At 41.1% G+C, this 16,423-nt stretch overlaps 1 long non-coding RNA gene across 2 annotated transcripts in view; it reads left to right on the top strand.

Moving 5' to 3' along the window:
• Positions 1-16,423, top strand: part of LOC124907986 (uncharacterized) — a 61,427-nt gene that overhangs the window by 10,362 nt on the left and 34,642 nt on the right. The window contains exon 2 of one of the 2 annotated variants that reach the window (XR_007088097.1): positions 5,531-5,703. The exons of the other annotated variant lie outside the window; for it this stretch is intronic. This is a non-coding gene — a long non-coding RNA (uncharacterized LOC124907986). Of the gene's footprint in view, positions 1-5,530; positions 5,704-16,423 lie in introns of those variants that run through there. 2 annotated transcript variants of the gene reach the window in all.

The following is a 16,423-nucleotide window of genomic DNA, read 5'->3' on the forward strand; positions in this document are numbered from 1 at the left end:
TTTCTTGAATTTTACTTTTCATAATTAAATTCACAATTCTTGATTCTGGTTACTGTTAGTTTGTTTATTTTGTTAACATATCTTATTTTCTATTGCTTTGAGAGCCAGGTAGTTTTGTAGAATATTAACATTATGCAAAAAAAACCACACTAAACCTGAGGTCTTAAAGTGAGCTAGGTTCTTCTTTGCCAAATTTTCTTTAGGGTCATGTTAACAAACAACTGAAAAAAATGTTTATAGCTTTCATGAGATAGCTGTCCACAAATGGGTTCTTATTCTGAAATTTTATCCATGCTACGATCAAAAAATGTTTCCCCTGATGACAGAAAAAAGATCGGCTCCAAACAGAGTGACTAGGCTGATATATGTCCAAGCGATCCCAATTGAATATTCCTGGAAAACCCAATTCTATTCTGAGAATGAAAAGTTTTAAGAGAAAGTGCATCGAGAACTTGGCACTATCTGCTTTTATCTGTTTTGTTGAGTAACTCCTTGTGGACTTCTCTAAATAATCTTTGAAATAGTAAAATATCCTTCTGTATTAGTCTGTTCTCATGCTGCTAATAAAGATACACCCAAGACTGGGTGGTTTATAAAGGAAAGAGGTTTAAGGGACTCACAGTTCCACATGGCTAGGGATGCCTCACAAGCATGGTGGAAGGAAAAGGAGAAGCAAACATATGTCTTACATGGTGGCAGGTAAGACAGCTTGTGCAGGGGAACTCCCATTTATAAAACCATCAGATCTCATATGGGGGAAACCGCCCCCATGATTCAATTATCTCCACCTGGCCCTACCCTTGACATGTGGGGATTATTACAATTCAAGGTGAAATTTGTCTGGGGACACAGCCAAACCATATCACCTTCCTACAACAGTGCACACTTCCACCCATTGAATGGAATTTGTCAATATCAAATATTCACTGGAAAAGCAGAAGGCAACTTTGCTGAGAACAGCAATAGGCCAGACATGGAGTTGTGATGACTTGGAACAAGATAGTAGGAAGAGTGTTGAGAAGAAGGAATATTCAATATCCATGTACCGAGTGTACTGAGAGTACGCAAAAGTGTCTGGAGTGTGGAAAGGAAATAGAATGTCAGTTTTCAATACTCAGAAACAGTAAAGGAAGATTTGCAACTTCACATGCATGTCCTGTTTGAATTCCCCTAAACATTCTGGCTTAAGGGTCTCCCAGGAGTCCCTCTCATTCCTGTTGCTCCTCATTTGGTCGTGTGTGGTGGTGGTTTCATTGTCCTGTTGAGTTATGCTTGTGTCATGTTTTAAAGGCCACTGCATTTCCCCATGGTGTGTGTGTGTGTGTGTGTGTGTGTGTGTGTGAGAGAGAGAGAGAGAGTGCATTTGTTTCGCTTTGTGTGAAAAGCTAGAACACACTGGTAGAAAGGAGACTGTGTGAAGGCAGACATTGTTAACATGGAGCCAACCACAAAAAGAAGATAAATACTTAGGATATGAGGAAATTTATAGGAAGAGGCTGGGAATGACCATCACTAATTAGCTTATGAAGAGTCATCAGGCATACTTAACATTCAGGCCAAAGACAGCATCAGAAGAGAAGAGCGCAAAAATTTTTTAAAAACCCAAAGCTTGAAAAGACCACAAATTGTAATACATATTTTTGGAATTATACAGTGATTATGTTGAGTATTGAACAAAAGTTCAGGAGGAGGTCTGGCTGAAAGGATAAGAAAATTTAAATTTCTTTTAGGATTTGTGCTGACATTGTTTTTTAAAAAAAGAGAATTCCAAGCTTATCTTTATTTCAAATATGTTCAAACTGGGTGTCCTCCCAGGCTCAACCTATTCTTTTACCCTTCAAAGGATCCATGGTTTAAAGAGATTTGTTTGAGGGGTCTTTAATATTTTCTGGCAAGACATAGATAACAGTTGAGTCTGGACTGAAGTATTCAGGATCATGATATCCCAGATGGACTGGTGAAGGTAACTCTAATATTTTCTGGAAAAGACGAAGACAGAAATAGATACCTGTGTCCAAGATAAATAGATGTTGCATAGTTTGCTTTGACCTTTATGGTTTTACAGTCAGGGAACTACCGCTGTGGGCACACAGAAGTTAGCATGCTGGTTCATCTTGACTCATTGAGTTGAATTTTGAGGATAGGATAGAAAAGGATGTCCTCTCTCTCCCTCAGCATGTTGGGAATTCAGAGTCACCTGAAGGGCTTGTTAAAACTCACATCTGGGTTCTACTGTCGGAGTTTGTGCTTCACATGGTTCTGAGGTGGGGTCTGAGAACCTGTACTTCTAGCAAATTCCTAGGTAATGCTCATGCTCCTTGCTGAGTGAGGGGAGAGAGGGATCACACTTTGAGAACCAGTGGTCAGCCAACTCTATTATTTTATACAAGTGAAACTCAGAGGGCAAAATTTTATTATTTTAATGATATGGTTGGGTTTGGTCAGGCAGGACTAGAATTTAAATCTCTTGACTCTAAACTCCATAGCATTTAGCATATAAGGTAGCTCTACAGAAAAAAAAATTAGAATATTTAAAAGAAATCTCTGACTTATTTCATCTTTAAGCCTCAAAACGTATGGCGACCAATGACAACAATACATTTTAGGACAGTTACTGTGTTCAGTAGAAGAGAAGAGTGAATCTAGTCTGAGGCAGAAGTCAACTCAGAATAATGAGAGGGCACTAGGGCCTGTCGTTCTCTCTGAGCTACATTGTGAAAGGTGCTTTGGCTTATTTAATTTATTGTATGTCTTCCCTAACTAGAGTGTAAATTCCTAGATGGCAAAAATTTGTATTTCTTCTAATTGCTCCATGTGCAAGTCTTATACTGTGCTTAGTACACAGTGAGAACTCAATCAGTATTTATTGAATGCATCAATGAATGGTACACTTACTGAGGAATCAACATTGGAATAGAAACACTTTCCCCTGTGGCCAGGAAATAAGAAAACATTTTCCTTCTTTTCATGGCCAAGAGGGAGCCCTACAGCTGTTCCAGGCTGGATGTGCCTTTGCCAAAAGGCTATTAAGTTTCCCAGGGCTATCAAACCAACACATAGTTTGGTTGCACCAATTGTGACCAACCTGTCAGCTCTCTCTTGAGGATGCCAAAGCCACCTTTAATAATGATGAACACTCATTGAGCCCTTACAACTTGTAAAGTCCTCTTCTAGGGGCTCTGTATGTATTACCTCACTTAATCTTTAGAATATCCCTAGAGGAGAGATGCTACTATTGCCCCATTTGCTAGATGAGGAAACTAAAGCCTAAAGAGGTTGAGTAATCCCTCAAGGCACACAGCTGATAAATGTAGGAACTGGGATTTCACCCCTGGCAGTCTGATCCATACACTAGGCTCTTCACCTCCAGACCATTTGATCTTTTTATGGCCTCAAGAGCTGAATAGAACTACATCCATCCTTCAGTAGAATGGGGAGTCTCAAAATACACCAAAACTGGGCCTGGGTTTTACCCTCCTTAAGTCAGACTCAAATTGCCTAAAATCAGCCTTGACTTAGAGGAAAGGTTCTTGAGAATTGAAGTAATTGGAGAGCTATGGCAGGAATAATTGTGAAATGCCAGAAAACAAATCCAAGGTGGAGAGAAGTACATACATAGATATTTTATATACGTATATTAGATAACATATATTTACGTATATAAAATCACAGGCTTGAGAAACATGTAATGGATTTGAGATGTTTTCTTTGAAGTCCAGTGGTTAAGAGTTCAGAGCAGAATTTTCTGTAGTATGTTACTCATCTAGAGAAGAAAAATTTTAAAAAGACTCTTTTCCTATATTTGAAAGGGAAAAACCAGTCCAAAAGATAATATAGTGTTGAGTAAGAAATTTTTCTTTTCTTTTTTTTTTTTTCTGAGATGGAATTTCACTCTTGTTGCCCAAGCTGGAGTGCAATGGCACGATCTTGGCTCACTGCAACCTCCGCCTCCCAGGTTCAAATGATTCTCCTGCCTCAGCTTCCCGAGTAGCTGGGATTACAAGCATGTGCCACCATGCCCAGCTAATTTTTGTATTTTTAGTAGAGATGGGGTTTTGCCATGTTGGCCAGGCTGGTCTCGAACTCCTGACATCAGGTGATCCATCTGCCTCGGCCTCCCAAACTGCTGAGATTACAGGTGTGAGCCACCGTTCCTGGCCAGAAAGTTTTTCTTAAACTTTTCCCATTTATAGGCATGTAGACATTGAAGTTAACACTTGAATTATTATACATACATATATATGTGTATATATATTTACATTGTCTCAGTTGTTACATTAAATAAAACCAAGAGCAGGATATTCTTTGCTCTGGACACCATTTATTATGTGCTCTTTCCTGCTTATAAGAACATCTTAGAACACCATAATTATGTGAATGGATTGCTCCGTAGAAACCCCATTGGTTTTGAACCTAAGAGATGGAAAGGGCAAGCTGATTACCTAAGTAATGCGGTTGAATCTGTGTCCCCACTGAAATCTCATGTTGAATTGTAATCCTCATTGTTGGAGGAGGGGCTAAGTGGGAGGTAATTGGATCATGGGTGCCGTTGGAGGGGGGGCTTCCTCCTTGCTGTTCTCAAGACAAGTGAGTGAGTTCTCATGAGATCTAGTTGTTTACAAGTACTTCTGCCTTCTCTCTCCTCCTTCTGCTTGTAGTACTTGTCATGGCAGCTTAAGCAAAGTCATATACCCTTCCTATTGAAGAGACAGAGGATCAAGATGCCTATCAAACCACAAATCACATTGAAAGCATCTTTTTAAACATGGTGTCTGGCATGTCTGCTCACATTCTGGTCAATGTGACGTGCCTGCTTCCCCTTTGCCTTCCACTATGATTGTAAGTTTCCTGAGGCCTCCCCAGCCATGCTTTCTGTAGAGCCTGCAGAACTGTGAGCCAATTAAACCTATTTTCTTTATAAATTACCCAGTCCCAGGTAGTTCTTCACAGAAGTGCAAGAATGAACTAATACACCAAGCTCACTTCTCATCCCACCATGAGTTCTTTTCTGGAGTGTTCGCCTCATCTCCATGCTTTATGCCCCCTGAGCCACTCAGATTTGCTGATATCATGAAACTGCTCACTGAAAATGAAAGAGTTTCTTTTCTTACAGAGTGAGGCATTGTGGTTTTCAAATAATTTGCTCATTGTTAGTGAATTTGCTACTAACTTGGTATATCTGTCAGATTTCGGTGAATCATGCTGTCTAATAAACAACTTCTGAAGCTCAATGGCTTACCATATACATTTATAATTGCTCATGTAGCATAAGGGCTGAAGGTCCCCACCATATCCCTTCCAGTTGGCCTTCTACTTCCAGACTCAGACGGAAACAGCGGCCCCTTTCTGGGATATGGTCTTGATGAGTTGAATTATGTGCCCCCTGCCAAATGCATCTGTTGAAATCTTAACCTCCAGTATCTCAGAATGTGACTTTTTCTGGAGATAGGGTCTTTTCAAAGGTAATCAAGTTAAAATGAGGTTATTAGGGTGGACCCTAATCTGATATGCCTGCTGTTCTTATAACAAGGGGAAATTTGGAGGCACGCACCTGGAAGAATGGCATGTGAATAGACACAGGGAGAAGGTGACCGTCTGCAAGCCAAGGAGAGAGGCCTCAGGAGAAACCAACTCTGCCAACACCTTGATCTTGGACTTCCAGCCTCGAGACTGTGAGATAATAAATGTCTGTTGTTTACGACACTCAGCTTGTGGTACTTGTCATGGCAGCTTTAGCAAAGTCACATACCCTTCCTATGGTGGAGGCTCAAGATGCCTGCCAAACCACAAGTCACACCGAAAGAGTCATTTTTAACACAGTGTCTGGCATGTCTGCTCACATTCCGGTCAATGCAAGTCACACGACCAAAGCTGGGAATTAGATTCCTTCCTGTGGGGGTAGGACGCACAAGAGAGTGAATATTTGCAAAATTTGATTCAATCTACTCCAATCACACATTCCCATCTTGTTCATGTCAGAGGATTGGAAGAAACCTTGGATTTTCTCTTGCCTCTTGTATTAGTCCTTTCTCATGCTGCTAATAAAGACATACTGGAGACTGAGTAATTTGTGTGGGAAAGAGGTTTAATGGACTCACAGTTCCACATGGCTGGGGATGCCTCCCAATTATGGCAGAAGATGAAGGAAGAGCAAAGGGACATCTTACATGGCAGCAGGCAAAAAGGCTTGTGAACGGGGACTCCCATTTGTAAAACCATCAGACCTTGTGAAACTTATTCACTACCATGAGAACAGAATGGGGAAAACTTCCCCCATGATTCAGTTGTCTCCACTTGGCCCTGCCCTTGACACATGGGGATTATAACAATTCAAGGTGAGATTTAGGTGAGAACACAGCCAAACTGTATCACCTCCTCAGTTCAAATCTACATGTCAGTTGAAAGAGATGTCCTTCCTCCCTACTTTCCTTGCTAACTTCAATGTGGCCATTTCAGTTTATATTTCTTTGATTTATAGGGTTGTGAGTTGAGAGAAAAAGCCCTATTTAAAACAATCTAGGTCACCCCTTTCACGTATATATTTTCACTACCCCACCACTGCAGAGAAGTCTCCAGCCTTGCTCGGGTTTTTCGAGAAGGAGAGGGCTTACTCCTTCCTAAGGCTGCCATTCCGCCACTGGCTAGACCAACAGAAACTTCCTTCAAATGCAGAGCTGAACATACTCATGTTTGGGGACTGCCAGGGTTTTACACATTCCCCGAATCAGGTGAGTCAACAAAAGTCATCTTGGGCATTGTATCAGGCACATAAATACATCAAATCCACATCTACAAAAGCACTCTGCTGGCCAGGCGCAGTGGCTCACACCTGTAATCCCAGCACTTTGGGAGGCTGAGGCTGGTGGATCACGAGGTCAGGAGTTCGAGACCAGCCTGGCCAACATAGTGAAAACCCTGTCTCTACTAAAAATACAAAAAATTAGCCGGGTGTGGTGGCGGGCGCCTGTAATCCCAGCTACTTGGGAGGCTGAGGCAGGAGAATGGCTTGAACCCGGGAGGTGGAGCTTGCAGTGAGTCAAGATTGCACCACTGCACTCCAGCTTGGGCGACAGAGTGAGACTCTGTCTCAAAGAAAAAAAAAAGCACTCTGCTTCCTGTTGTCATTTTTCCTCCTCTTATCTCCAGGCAGAGAAGATAGTGTCCTAAGGGGTCCCTCAGGACCACCCTGCCTAGCCTCAGTGAAAATGAAAACAGCAGGTTGAATTGCATAGGAAGTTTTTGTTTGGGTTTCACTAAGAAAAATTCTCAGTTTGAAGACATGATATCTGAAGCTATTGTGTTATGTGCATAAAGGTTCTTGAACTTGGTGTTATACTTTCTCAGTGTATGATGTTTTAAAAACTAAATATGAGATTAAGCTCACCTTTTCCTCTTTTAAAGTTTTTTTACTTGCGTTTCATCTTGTTTCATATTAAGGTTGCCATATTTGCTTCTTTTTTGATATAATTTTTTCATTTTTCAACTTTTGCTCAGGATCATGTGTGTGTGCATATTTATTGTTTATTTTTTGTAAATGGCAAATAAATATTTCTAACCTCAACAGGATGGTCTTTGTCTTTTTATAGGAAAATTTTACCTGCTCACTCTATTGTGATTGCTGACAAATATTTGCTATGCTTTGAATTTTTTATTACCCGTATACACAAGTTACTGCCTGTTTCATTGCATGTACAAGGAACTGGGGCAAAGTACAGATGATATAAGTACATATCTTCTAAATTCAGTTCTTCATTTAATTACCCTGGTGATGTCTGGGCTTCCTCCTACTCTTTACAGCTGTTGATTGAATAAAGGGTGCTCACAGAACCAATCTGTGGATGTCCAGAGAAGTCTTCTCTTATACATGTTTTGGCTTTGATTTTCTTTCATTTTATTTATCCTTAGTCTAATACCACCTAGGTTCCTTCTTTAACAAATTTCTCATTATAAAAATTTTATAATGATATTTATTGTTTACTACTGCTATTATAATTTTCCTTTTTTAAAAATATATTTTCTTGCCTCTTATGAGACTCTGAGCAGGAGGAAAGGAAGATGCAGGTATTCAGTCTACTATGATGATCCAATTCCCCAAGATCTTATTTTTAAACACTTTTGTTTTTGAGAGGTGGGGTCAGTTGAGTGTGTGTGAGTATGTGTGTGTGTGTGTGTGTGTGTGTGTGTTTGATGTTTCATCTGCTGCAAAAGTCCTGGGTTCTATCTATTCTTTCTCTTTTTAAATTTTTGCCCTGAAGGGAATGTCTTGTCCTCTTTTCTTTTTACTTTCACTGAATTCTACCTGAAAGGTCAAGTAAAGTCAGACAAGAAGAGATTATAATGAATATCATGCTCTCTTGCCTAGTCTGTTCAGTGAGTGGGAGTTGGGGATGTGCCTACAGCATGATTAATTTTCATCATTATGCCTTAAAAAATAAAATGTCCCTAACTATCATTAATCATGTTCTTATTGTAATTAGGTATAATCAAAATGGACAGTCAGTCATCTACTGTGTCATTAACAGATGCAGTTTTGGGGAATGCTGAAAAATCTTCAAGGCTTATGTCCATTATCACACGTAAAGTCTGCATACTGGGCATTCTGAGATTGCACATACTAAGGAGGGTATTGTTAGTCTGCTGAGATATTCAAAAGATCATTTTCATTTGCCTTATTTATTCCTGGAGTTAAAAGGCGTAGCTGTTTAAAACTGGTTCTTAAACTTACATACATTATTAGAATCATCTAAAGAGATTAAAAAAATGCTGATTGCTGGGTCTGTTCCCAGGGATTTTTGATTTAACTGGTCTGGAGTGAAGCCTGGACATCAAGAGCCTTAAAAGCTCCCTAGGTACTGCTAATGTGCAGGACATTTTTGAGAATCCCTTCTCTAAAACATCAAATAGGTAAAAGGCAGAATGTCAGGGTCATGCCTCCAAATAGGTGACTAATCACAGCAGGGGAAAGTCTCATCAAAAAATCCTTAGCTTGACTTTCAGACTGTTACTAGTTCGTTGTTCATATCTCCTTATATAAAATTTCTGGTCTTCTTATACCAGTCCTCTCACTTCGTCTCTGTCTCATACATTGACTTTTTCACCTGGGACAGAATCCTCACAAAAAAGGAGAAAAGGGGAGGAAATTTTCTTAGGGGATTAAGATTTTCTATGATGTGCCTCTCTGACTTCTAAGGAATGGCATATGTCTTCTTATTTACCTTCCTTCCTTCCTTCCTTCCTCCCTCCCTCCCTCCCTCCCTCCCTCCCTCCCTCCCTCCCTCCCTCCCTCCCTCCCTTCCTTCCTTCCTCCCTTCCTTCCTCCCTTCCTTCCTTCTCTCTTTTCTTTTTACTTCCTTGCTAGGTAACCTTAAATGATCTCCATTTTCAGAAGAGAAATGAGAGAATGTGCTACAGTAACCAAAACAGTATGATGCTGGTACAAAAACAGACACATAGACCAATGGAACAGAATAGAGAGCCCAGAAATAATGTCCCGTATCTATGACCATCTGATCTTTGACAAACCTGACAAAAACAAGCAATGGGGAAAGGACTCCATATTCAGTAATGGTTCTGGGATAACTGGGTAGCCACTTGAAGAAGATTGAAACTGGAACCCTTCCTTACACCATTATATATAAAATTTAACTCAGGATAGACTAAAGACTTATATCTATAACAAAAAACCATAAAAACCCTGGAAGATAACCTAGGGAATACCATTCTGGACACAGGAACCAGCAAAGACTTTATGACAAAGACACAAAAAGCAATTGCAACAAAAGCAAAAAATTGACAAATGGGACCTAATTAAACTAAAGAGCTTTTGCACAGCAAAAGAAACTATCAACAGAGTAAACACATAACCTACAGAATGGGAGAAAATATTTGCAAACTATGCATCTGGCAAAGGTCTAATATTGAGAATCTATAAGAAACTTAAATTTACAAGAAAAACACACAACCCCATTAAAAAGTGAGACAAGAACATGAACAGACACTTTTCAAAAGAAGGCATACGCGTGGCCAACCAGCATATAAAAAAATGCCCAACATCACTAGTCATTAGAGAAATGCAAATCAAAACCACAATGAGATACCATCTCACACCAGTCAGAATGTCTATTATTAAAAAGTCAAAAAATTACAGATGCTGGCAAGGTTTTGGAGGAAAGGGAACACTTATACACTGTTAATGGGAATGTAAATTAGTTTAGCCACTGTGGAAAGCAGTTTGGAGATTCCTCAAGGAATTTAAAACAGAATTGCCATTTGACACAGCAGTCCCATTATTGGGTATATACCCAAAGGAATGTAACTTGTACTGCCCTAAAGACACATGCACGCATATGTTCATCATAGCATGATTCACCATAGCAAAGACACAGAAACAACCTAAATGCCCATCAATAATAGACTGGATAAAGAAAACCTGATACATATACACCATGAAATACTATGTAGCCATAAAAAAGAATGAGATTATGTCCTTTGCAGGTACATGGATAGAGCTGGAGGTAATTATCCTGAGCAAATTAACGCAGGAAGAAAAAACCAAACACTGCATGTTCTTGCTTATGAGTGGGAGCTAAGCATTGAGTACACATGGTTACAAAGAAAAGAACAACAGGCCCTGGAGCCTACTTGAGGGTGGAGTATGAGAGGAGAGTGAGGATTGAAAAACTACCTATCAGGTACTACGGTTATTACCTGGGTAAGGAACACTAAATCCCTGTGACACGCAATTTACCTATATAACAAACCTGCACATGTACCCCGGAACCTAAAATAAAATTTTTTAAAAATACAAAAATAAAAATAAATAAAAATATACTTATCTCAAAAAAAAAAAAAGAAAAGAAAAAAGAAAGAAACGAGAGGATGTGCTCATGGAGCTATGCCATCTCTGTGAGTGAGTTGCCGTGGGGATAGGAGGAGTTTGGTACTCCAGCCCCAGTCTGCGGTTAATTGTTCTCAAAACTCAAGGCCTCCTTTATATTTTATCAATTGGGAATGCCAGCACTTGATTGCCACACAGCCTCTTCCTTAAATTGTATTTTGAAGATTAATGGTTTGTGGAAGAACATTTAAGGCTTAGATTTCTATCAAGAGACTCATAAAATAAGTATGTAAAATAGAGCTGTGGAAATAGACCATGGCTCTTGAGAATTTTAAAATATGAATCTGAAGCTGCTTACATTTGGATTCTTATCTGTTTTCCATTGGGAACTGAAATGGTCCAACTGTTGGATCAGCGTCTGCGTGGAGCCTTTGGTCTCAGTGCTATCAGTGCCCTCTAGTCATTTTTTTTTTCTAGACATCATTTTACCTTGTTCTTGGTGGACACCCATGGGTCAAGAATCTTCAACAATAAAGAGGTGCAATAAGAAGTAATACTCACAGCCCTGGCTTATGGTGGATAGCTATCAGAATGTTGAGTTCCAACAGATTTGACTTATGGTACAATTTTGATTGCCTTAATTTTTTTGAGAGATGTTTCGCTTTATCTATAGCTCAGAATTGTTTTCAAACTTTTAAGAAGTCCAGAAGAAAGAAAAGCCACTATGTTATTAGGAGGGAATGTCATTTGAGGTAAATCATTGGTTAGTCCAGAGTGATGGGTCTCCATGGGGACAGTGCTGGCCCCAGGGACGATTGGAAATTTGTGGGCATGATCTTGGGCTGTAATATTTAGTGAGTGGGGACCCAGGATGCCAGAGCCCTGAAACGGAGGGGACATTCCTGCACATCAAAGAACTAGGTTCTCCAGGATATTTAAATTTCCCACTGGACAAATAATGATCAGTGTCTTTTGTTCAAAATGTTAGCAAGGGTTGTTAACTGATATAGTAAATTTCATCACCAATGGCAAAGCTCTATGTGATTTGGAGCCACTATCCCGCACACATGTAGCAGTTTACATTGCAGCTGACTCATTTACAAAGATGCTCATGGTATCACGAGAGAGGCAGGCATCTCCCAGCTTCACTAGTCCTCTAGTACAGTCACATAGGGGATGTTTACATCTTGACTTAATTGCTATTTTATTACATATTACTTTCCTTTAATGTCTGCTTTATATTTCTTTTAGGGTGTTATGTTGAATTTTAAAAAATTGTGTTTATAATTAGATTACATTTTGTATAAATGGAGGGTTTGATTTGATTGAGGACTATCGTGGTTTTTTTTTTTTTTGGAGACACAGTCTTGCTCTGTCACCCAGGCTGGAGTGCAGTGGCATGATCTTGGCTTACTGCAACCTCCACCTGCCGGGTTCAACCAATTCTCGTGCCTCAGCCTCTAAAGTAACTGGGAATACAGGCATGTGACACCAAGCCCGTCTATTTTTTTATATTTTAGTAGAGACAAGTTTTCACCATGTTGCCCAGGTTGGTCTTGAACTCCTGAGCTCAGGCAATCCATCTGCCTCGGCCTCCCCAAGTGCTAGGATTACAGGCCTGAGCCACCGCGCCCGGCCAGGACTATCGTTTTAATGCCTGCTGTGATCCAACGTCTATTTACAAAAGGTTGCAAAGCCAAAATAAATAAGTGAATATACTATCATTTCAACCCCCATATAATTTATTAATTAATTAAAATAACATTTATAGGCATTGGCATTGTGCCAGGCCAACAGAGATGAATAAAATTTATTGTTTCTGAGATTCTCAGTGTAAAGAGAGAGATGAAGCAGAAAGTCAATAATTGAAACTTGGGGAGACAAATACAATGAAGACAGATGAGGAGAGCTGAGGGAGGCAGTCATTGTTCCTGGGGAAAAGGAGGGTTTGCAGAAGGAAATATCAAAATAAGCTTCTTCCTGGGGAGGTGAATCTGAAAGGCTGTGTAACGGTCCTTCAGTCTTGGCAATATCCTAAGGTATTTGGATTTTGGCTTAGTCTAGAAGCCTATGGTTTAAAAGAATTTGCCTCTGTTGGCTTCCATCAAGTCAAAGCTGTGGCTGAGCATTGCCCAAGCATCAGAAATGAGCCTATGTGGTATAACTGACAGGTGTCAATGCACCACCTTATTCAACACCTAATTAAGAGCCTCATCTCTGATTTACATCGGAAGCAGACAGGCTGTAGTTTTAAGCACTTCTCATTACTTTTTACTCATGTAATCTTGGACAAGTCACTTAGCTTCTCAAAGCCCTGGATTCATTGCAATAGAAATGAGAAAACCGGTGACCATTCAGTACCCTGGAGTGTGGGCACAACTTTGGCTTCCAATTCACTGGACCTCAGCTTCTCCTCACCCCACAGGGCCTTAGGGAGGTATTGAGGGAGAGGCATTTGTTTGGCTAAAACATTGGGCTAAGAATTGGGAGGCCTGAATGTCCATCCTGGTCCTGCCACTGTCTTGCTCTGGGCCTTTAATCAAGTCTTTGAACCGCTTATGGCCTCAGTTTTCTCATCTTAAAAACAAGGCAGTCAAACAAGGTTATCTCCAAGGCCCTTCGAAGCTCCGACATACTGAATGTGTCCTCATGGTTTCTGCTCATCAGCAGCCTATTTCTACCACCACCTCCACCATCACTTTCTTTTTAAACATTCTTTTGATAATTCTCTTTGAAATAAGCCCTCATTTTGGGTTTCAGTTAAGCTAAGAAAAAAAAATCTGTGGATTTGTTTTCTTTTCCATCAAAATAATTAAAAACTCTTGGACATAATCCATAAGTAAACAAGGTTTCTAGGTAGGAGAATATGAACTATGATTGTGTTAAAGATAAACTAATCTGTAGCTCATGCCTGTAATCCCAGCACTTTGGGAGGCTGAGGTGGGAGAATTGCTTGAGCCCAGGAGTTCAAGACCAGCCTGGGCAACATGGTGAAACTTTGTCTCTACAAAAAAATACAAAAATTAGCCGGGTGTAGTGCGGTGATGCGACAAGATCTTGCTTCCCCCACATATTGTCCTACCTGGCTCTCTCTCATTATTCAGCTTTCAGCTGGAGCATCATTTTCTCAGAGAGGCCTTCCCTGTCTCCCTGTTGGCAGTTACTGTCTAGCCCATCTGTCCCCTGCTGGCTCCATGGGAGCAGGGATCTGGTCTGCCTTGCTTGCCTATGAGTCACCAGCACCTGAAACAGTGCTTGGCTCTTGGTCAGAGCTCAATTTAGGCCTTGACCCCGCATCCCTGGTCGCTACCCAAGGCTGCTATTTAGAATGAGAAAGGCAGGCAGCTGCTGTAAGAGAGATGAATTAGATAATGATTACAGTGATACATCCTATTCTTTTAAATCCTGACTCTGAAGTTCCTGGCTCCCAAATCAGGCTTACCAAATAGCTACTGGTTTTGAGCTGTGATTTAACTTCCCTGGACCTCATGCGTTTTAAAACGGATGAGTTGGATAATTAAAATTAACACCTCACTTGTGTGCAGCCCCCTTTCTTCTGTGCCAGGCCCAGGCCCCGCCATTGATGGGCTTTATGTCATTCTGTCCTCTCTCCAGCCCTATAGGGCTTCTGATTTTCTCTATTTGCAGAGGAGACCTGAGACTTAGATTGAAAAACCTGCCTGTAACAGTTTGCTAGGACTGCCATAACAAAATACCACAAACAGGGGAACTTAAACAAAGAAATTTATTTTCTCACAATTCTGGAGGCTGGTAGTTTGACGTATCATGAGTTTGGTTTCTTCTGAGGCCTCTCTCTTTGACTTCTAGATGGTGGCCTTTGTCCTGTGCCCCGACGTGGCCTTTTTTTCTGTGCATGGATATCCCTAGTGTCTCTTCTTTTTCTTAGGCCACCAGACCTATTGGATTAAACCCACATCCATCCTTTTTTTTTTTTGAGATAGAGTCTCCCTCTGACACTCAGACTGGAGTGCAGTGGGTTGATCTCAGCTCACTGCAAACTCTGCCTCCTGGGTTCAAGGGAGAATTGCTTGAATAGCTGGGATTATAGGCATCCACCACCATGCCCGGGTAATTTTTTTTTTTTCTCGAGACAGAGTCTTGCTCTGTCGCCCAGGCTGGAGTGTAGTGGTATAATCTCAGCTCACTGAAACCTCTGCCTCCCGGATTCAAGCAATTCTCCTGCCTCAGCCTCCTAAGTAGCAGGGATTACAGGCACCAACCACCCCGGCTGGCTAATTTTTTTTGTATTTTTAGTAGAGGTGGGGTTTCACCATGTTGGCCAGGCTGGTCTCAAACTCCTGACCTCGTGATCTGCCCATCTCGGCCTCCCAGAGTGCTGGGATTACAGGTGTGAGCCACTGTGCCTGGCTAAACCCACATCCTTTTGATCTCATCTTACCTTCCCTTCCTCCCTAACATCCCTATCTCGATATTCACCCACATTGAGGGGTTAGAGCTTCAAGATACAAATTTGGAGGTGACACAACTCAGTCTCCAACACTGACCAAAGCCACTGTGCTAACAAACAATAGAGACATTATTTTAATCTAGGTCACATTCCCAGCTCCCCTAACCACTACTTTATACTGCCACCAGGATTTCCTCCCTACTGACATCCATGAAAGATCAAGCTTGGAAAAGCAGGAGGCCCCAGCTCCATCTCTGCAAAGTGGATATTGGGAAGGGAAAGGCAGATGGCTGATGACTGAGCGACTGCCTGGCGTTCCTCCGTGGATGTGCTCAGAATGCATAATTCGATGAATGCTGCTGTATCTCATTACTCTTGGCATGTCTGACGGGAAGGTCATGGTAACAGGAGTTACTGAGCATTACAATTAGCCAGCAACCTTTCCCAACCTCTTCTAAAATTATTGGAAGACAAATTTCACTTCAGTTCTCTCTTGGATAAGGTGGCAGTTATCCAGGGACTTAAAAAGGCCAGCAAAGTTTATAAAGGCAGAGCTGATATTTGCTGGAGTATCTCATTGGAACCGTTGGTTGACAAGAGCATGTATGGCCGCCAAGGCCCAGGAATGAGATTTTCCAGTAACGCTGGTTAGATGGCTGTGGGTCGCCCGCCAGGCATGACCGAGTGTATCTGAGCTGTCTTTTGCCACCTGTACAAATGTCTTCTGAGCGGCTGCTATGTTCCAGGCACACCACGATATGGTTCTGATTCCTCATGACTCCTGCCCACATTAGTAGACAAGCTCAGAATCTAAGTTGTGACCCACACTCCAGGACAGTGCCTTGTATCAGAAACCCAGATAATAATTTTAGTTCTATCAAATTCTGCTGCTGCTCCCATTCCTCCTGCTCTTCCTTCCACTGCCTCCTTTCTTTCTACTTACTGCGTGGCAGGCACTTGATTGACAGTGTGTCCTTTAATCCTCATAAGATCCATAGAAGCATTTACCACCATCACCACTGTTTTTATAGATAGAACCAGCCTACCCAACAGCCTCAAGTGGTGGGGTTTAAGGTGACATCGTTCCATGTTTCTTCAATCGGCGCCCCACCTGTGCTATGTTGACTGTACCTTCTCTGCTGGGTAGAAGGCTCCTT

The sequence above is a fragment of the Homo sapiens genome, chromosome 2 (assembly GCF_000001405.40).
Source record: "Homo sapiens chromosome 2, GRCh38.p14 Primary Assembly".
Lineage (NCBI taxonomy): Eukaryota > Metazoa > Chordata > Mammalia > Primates > Hominidae > Homo > Homo sapiens.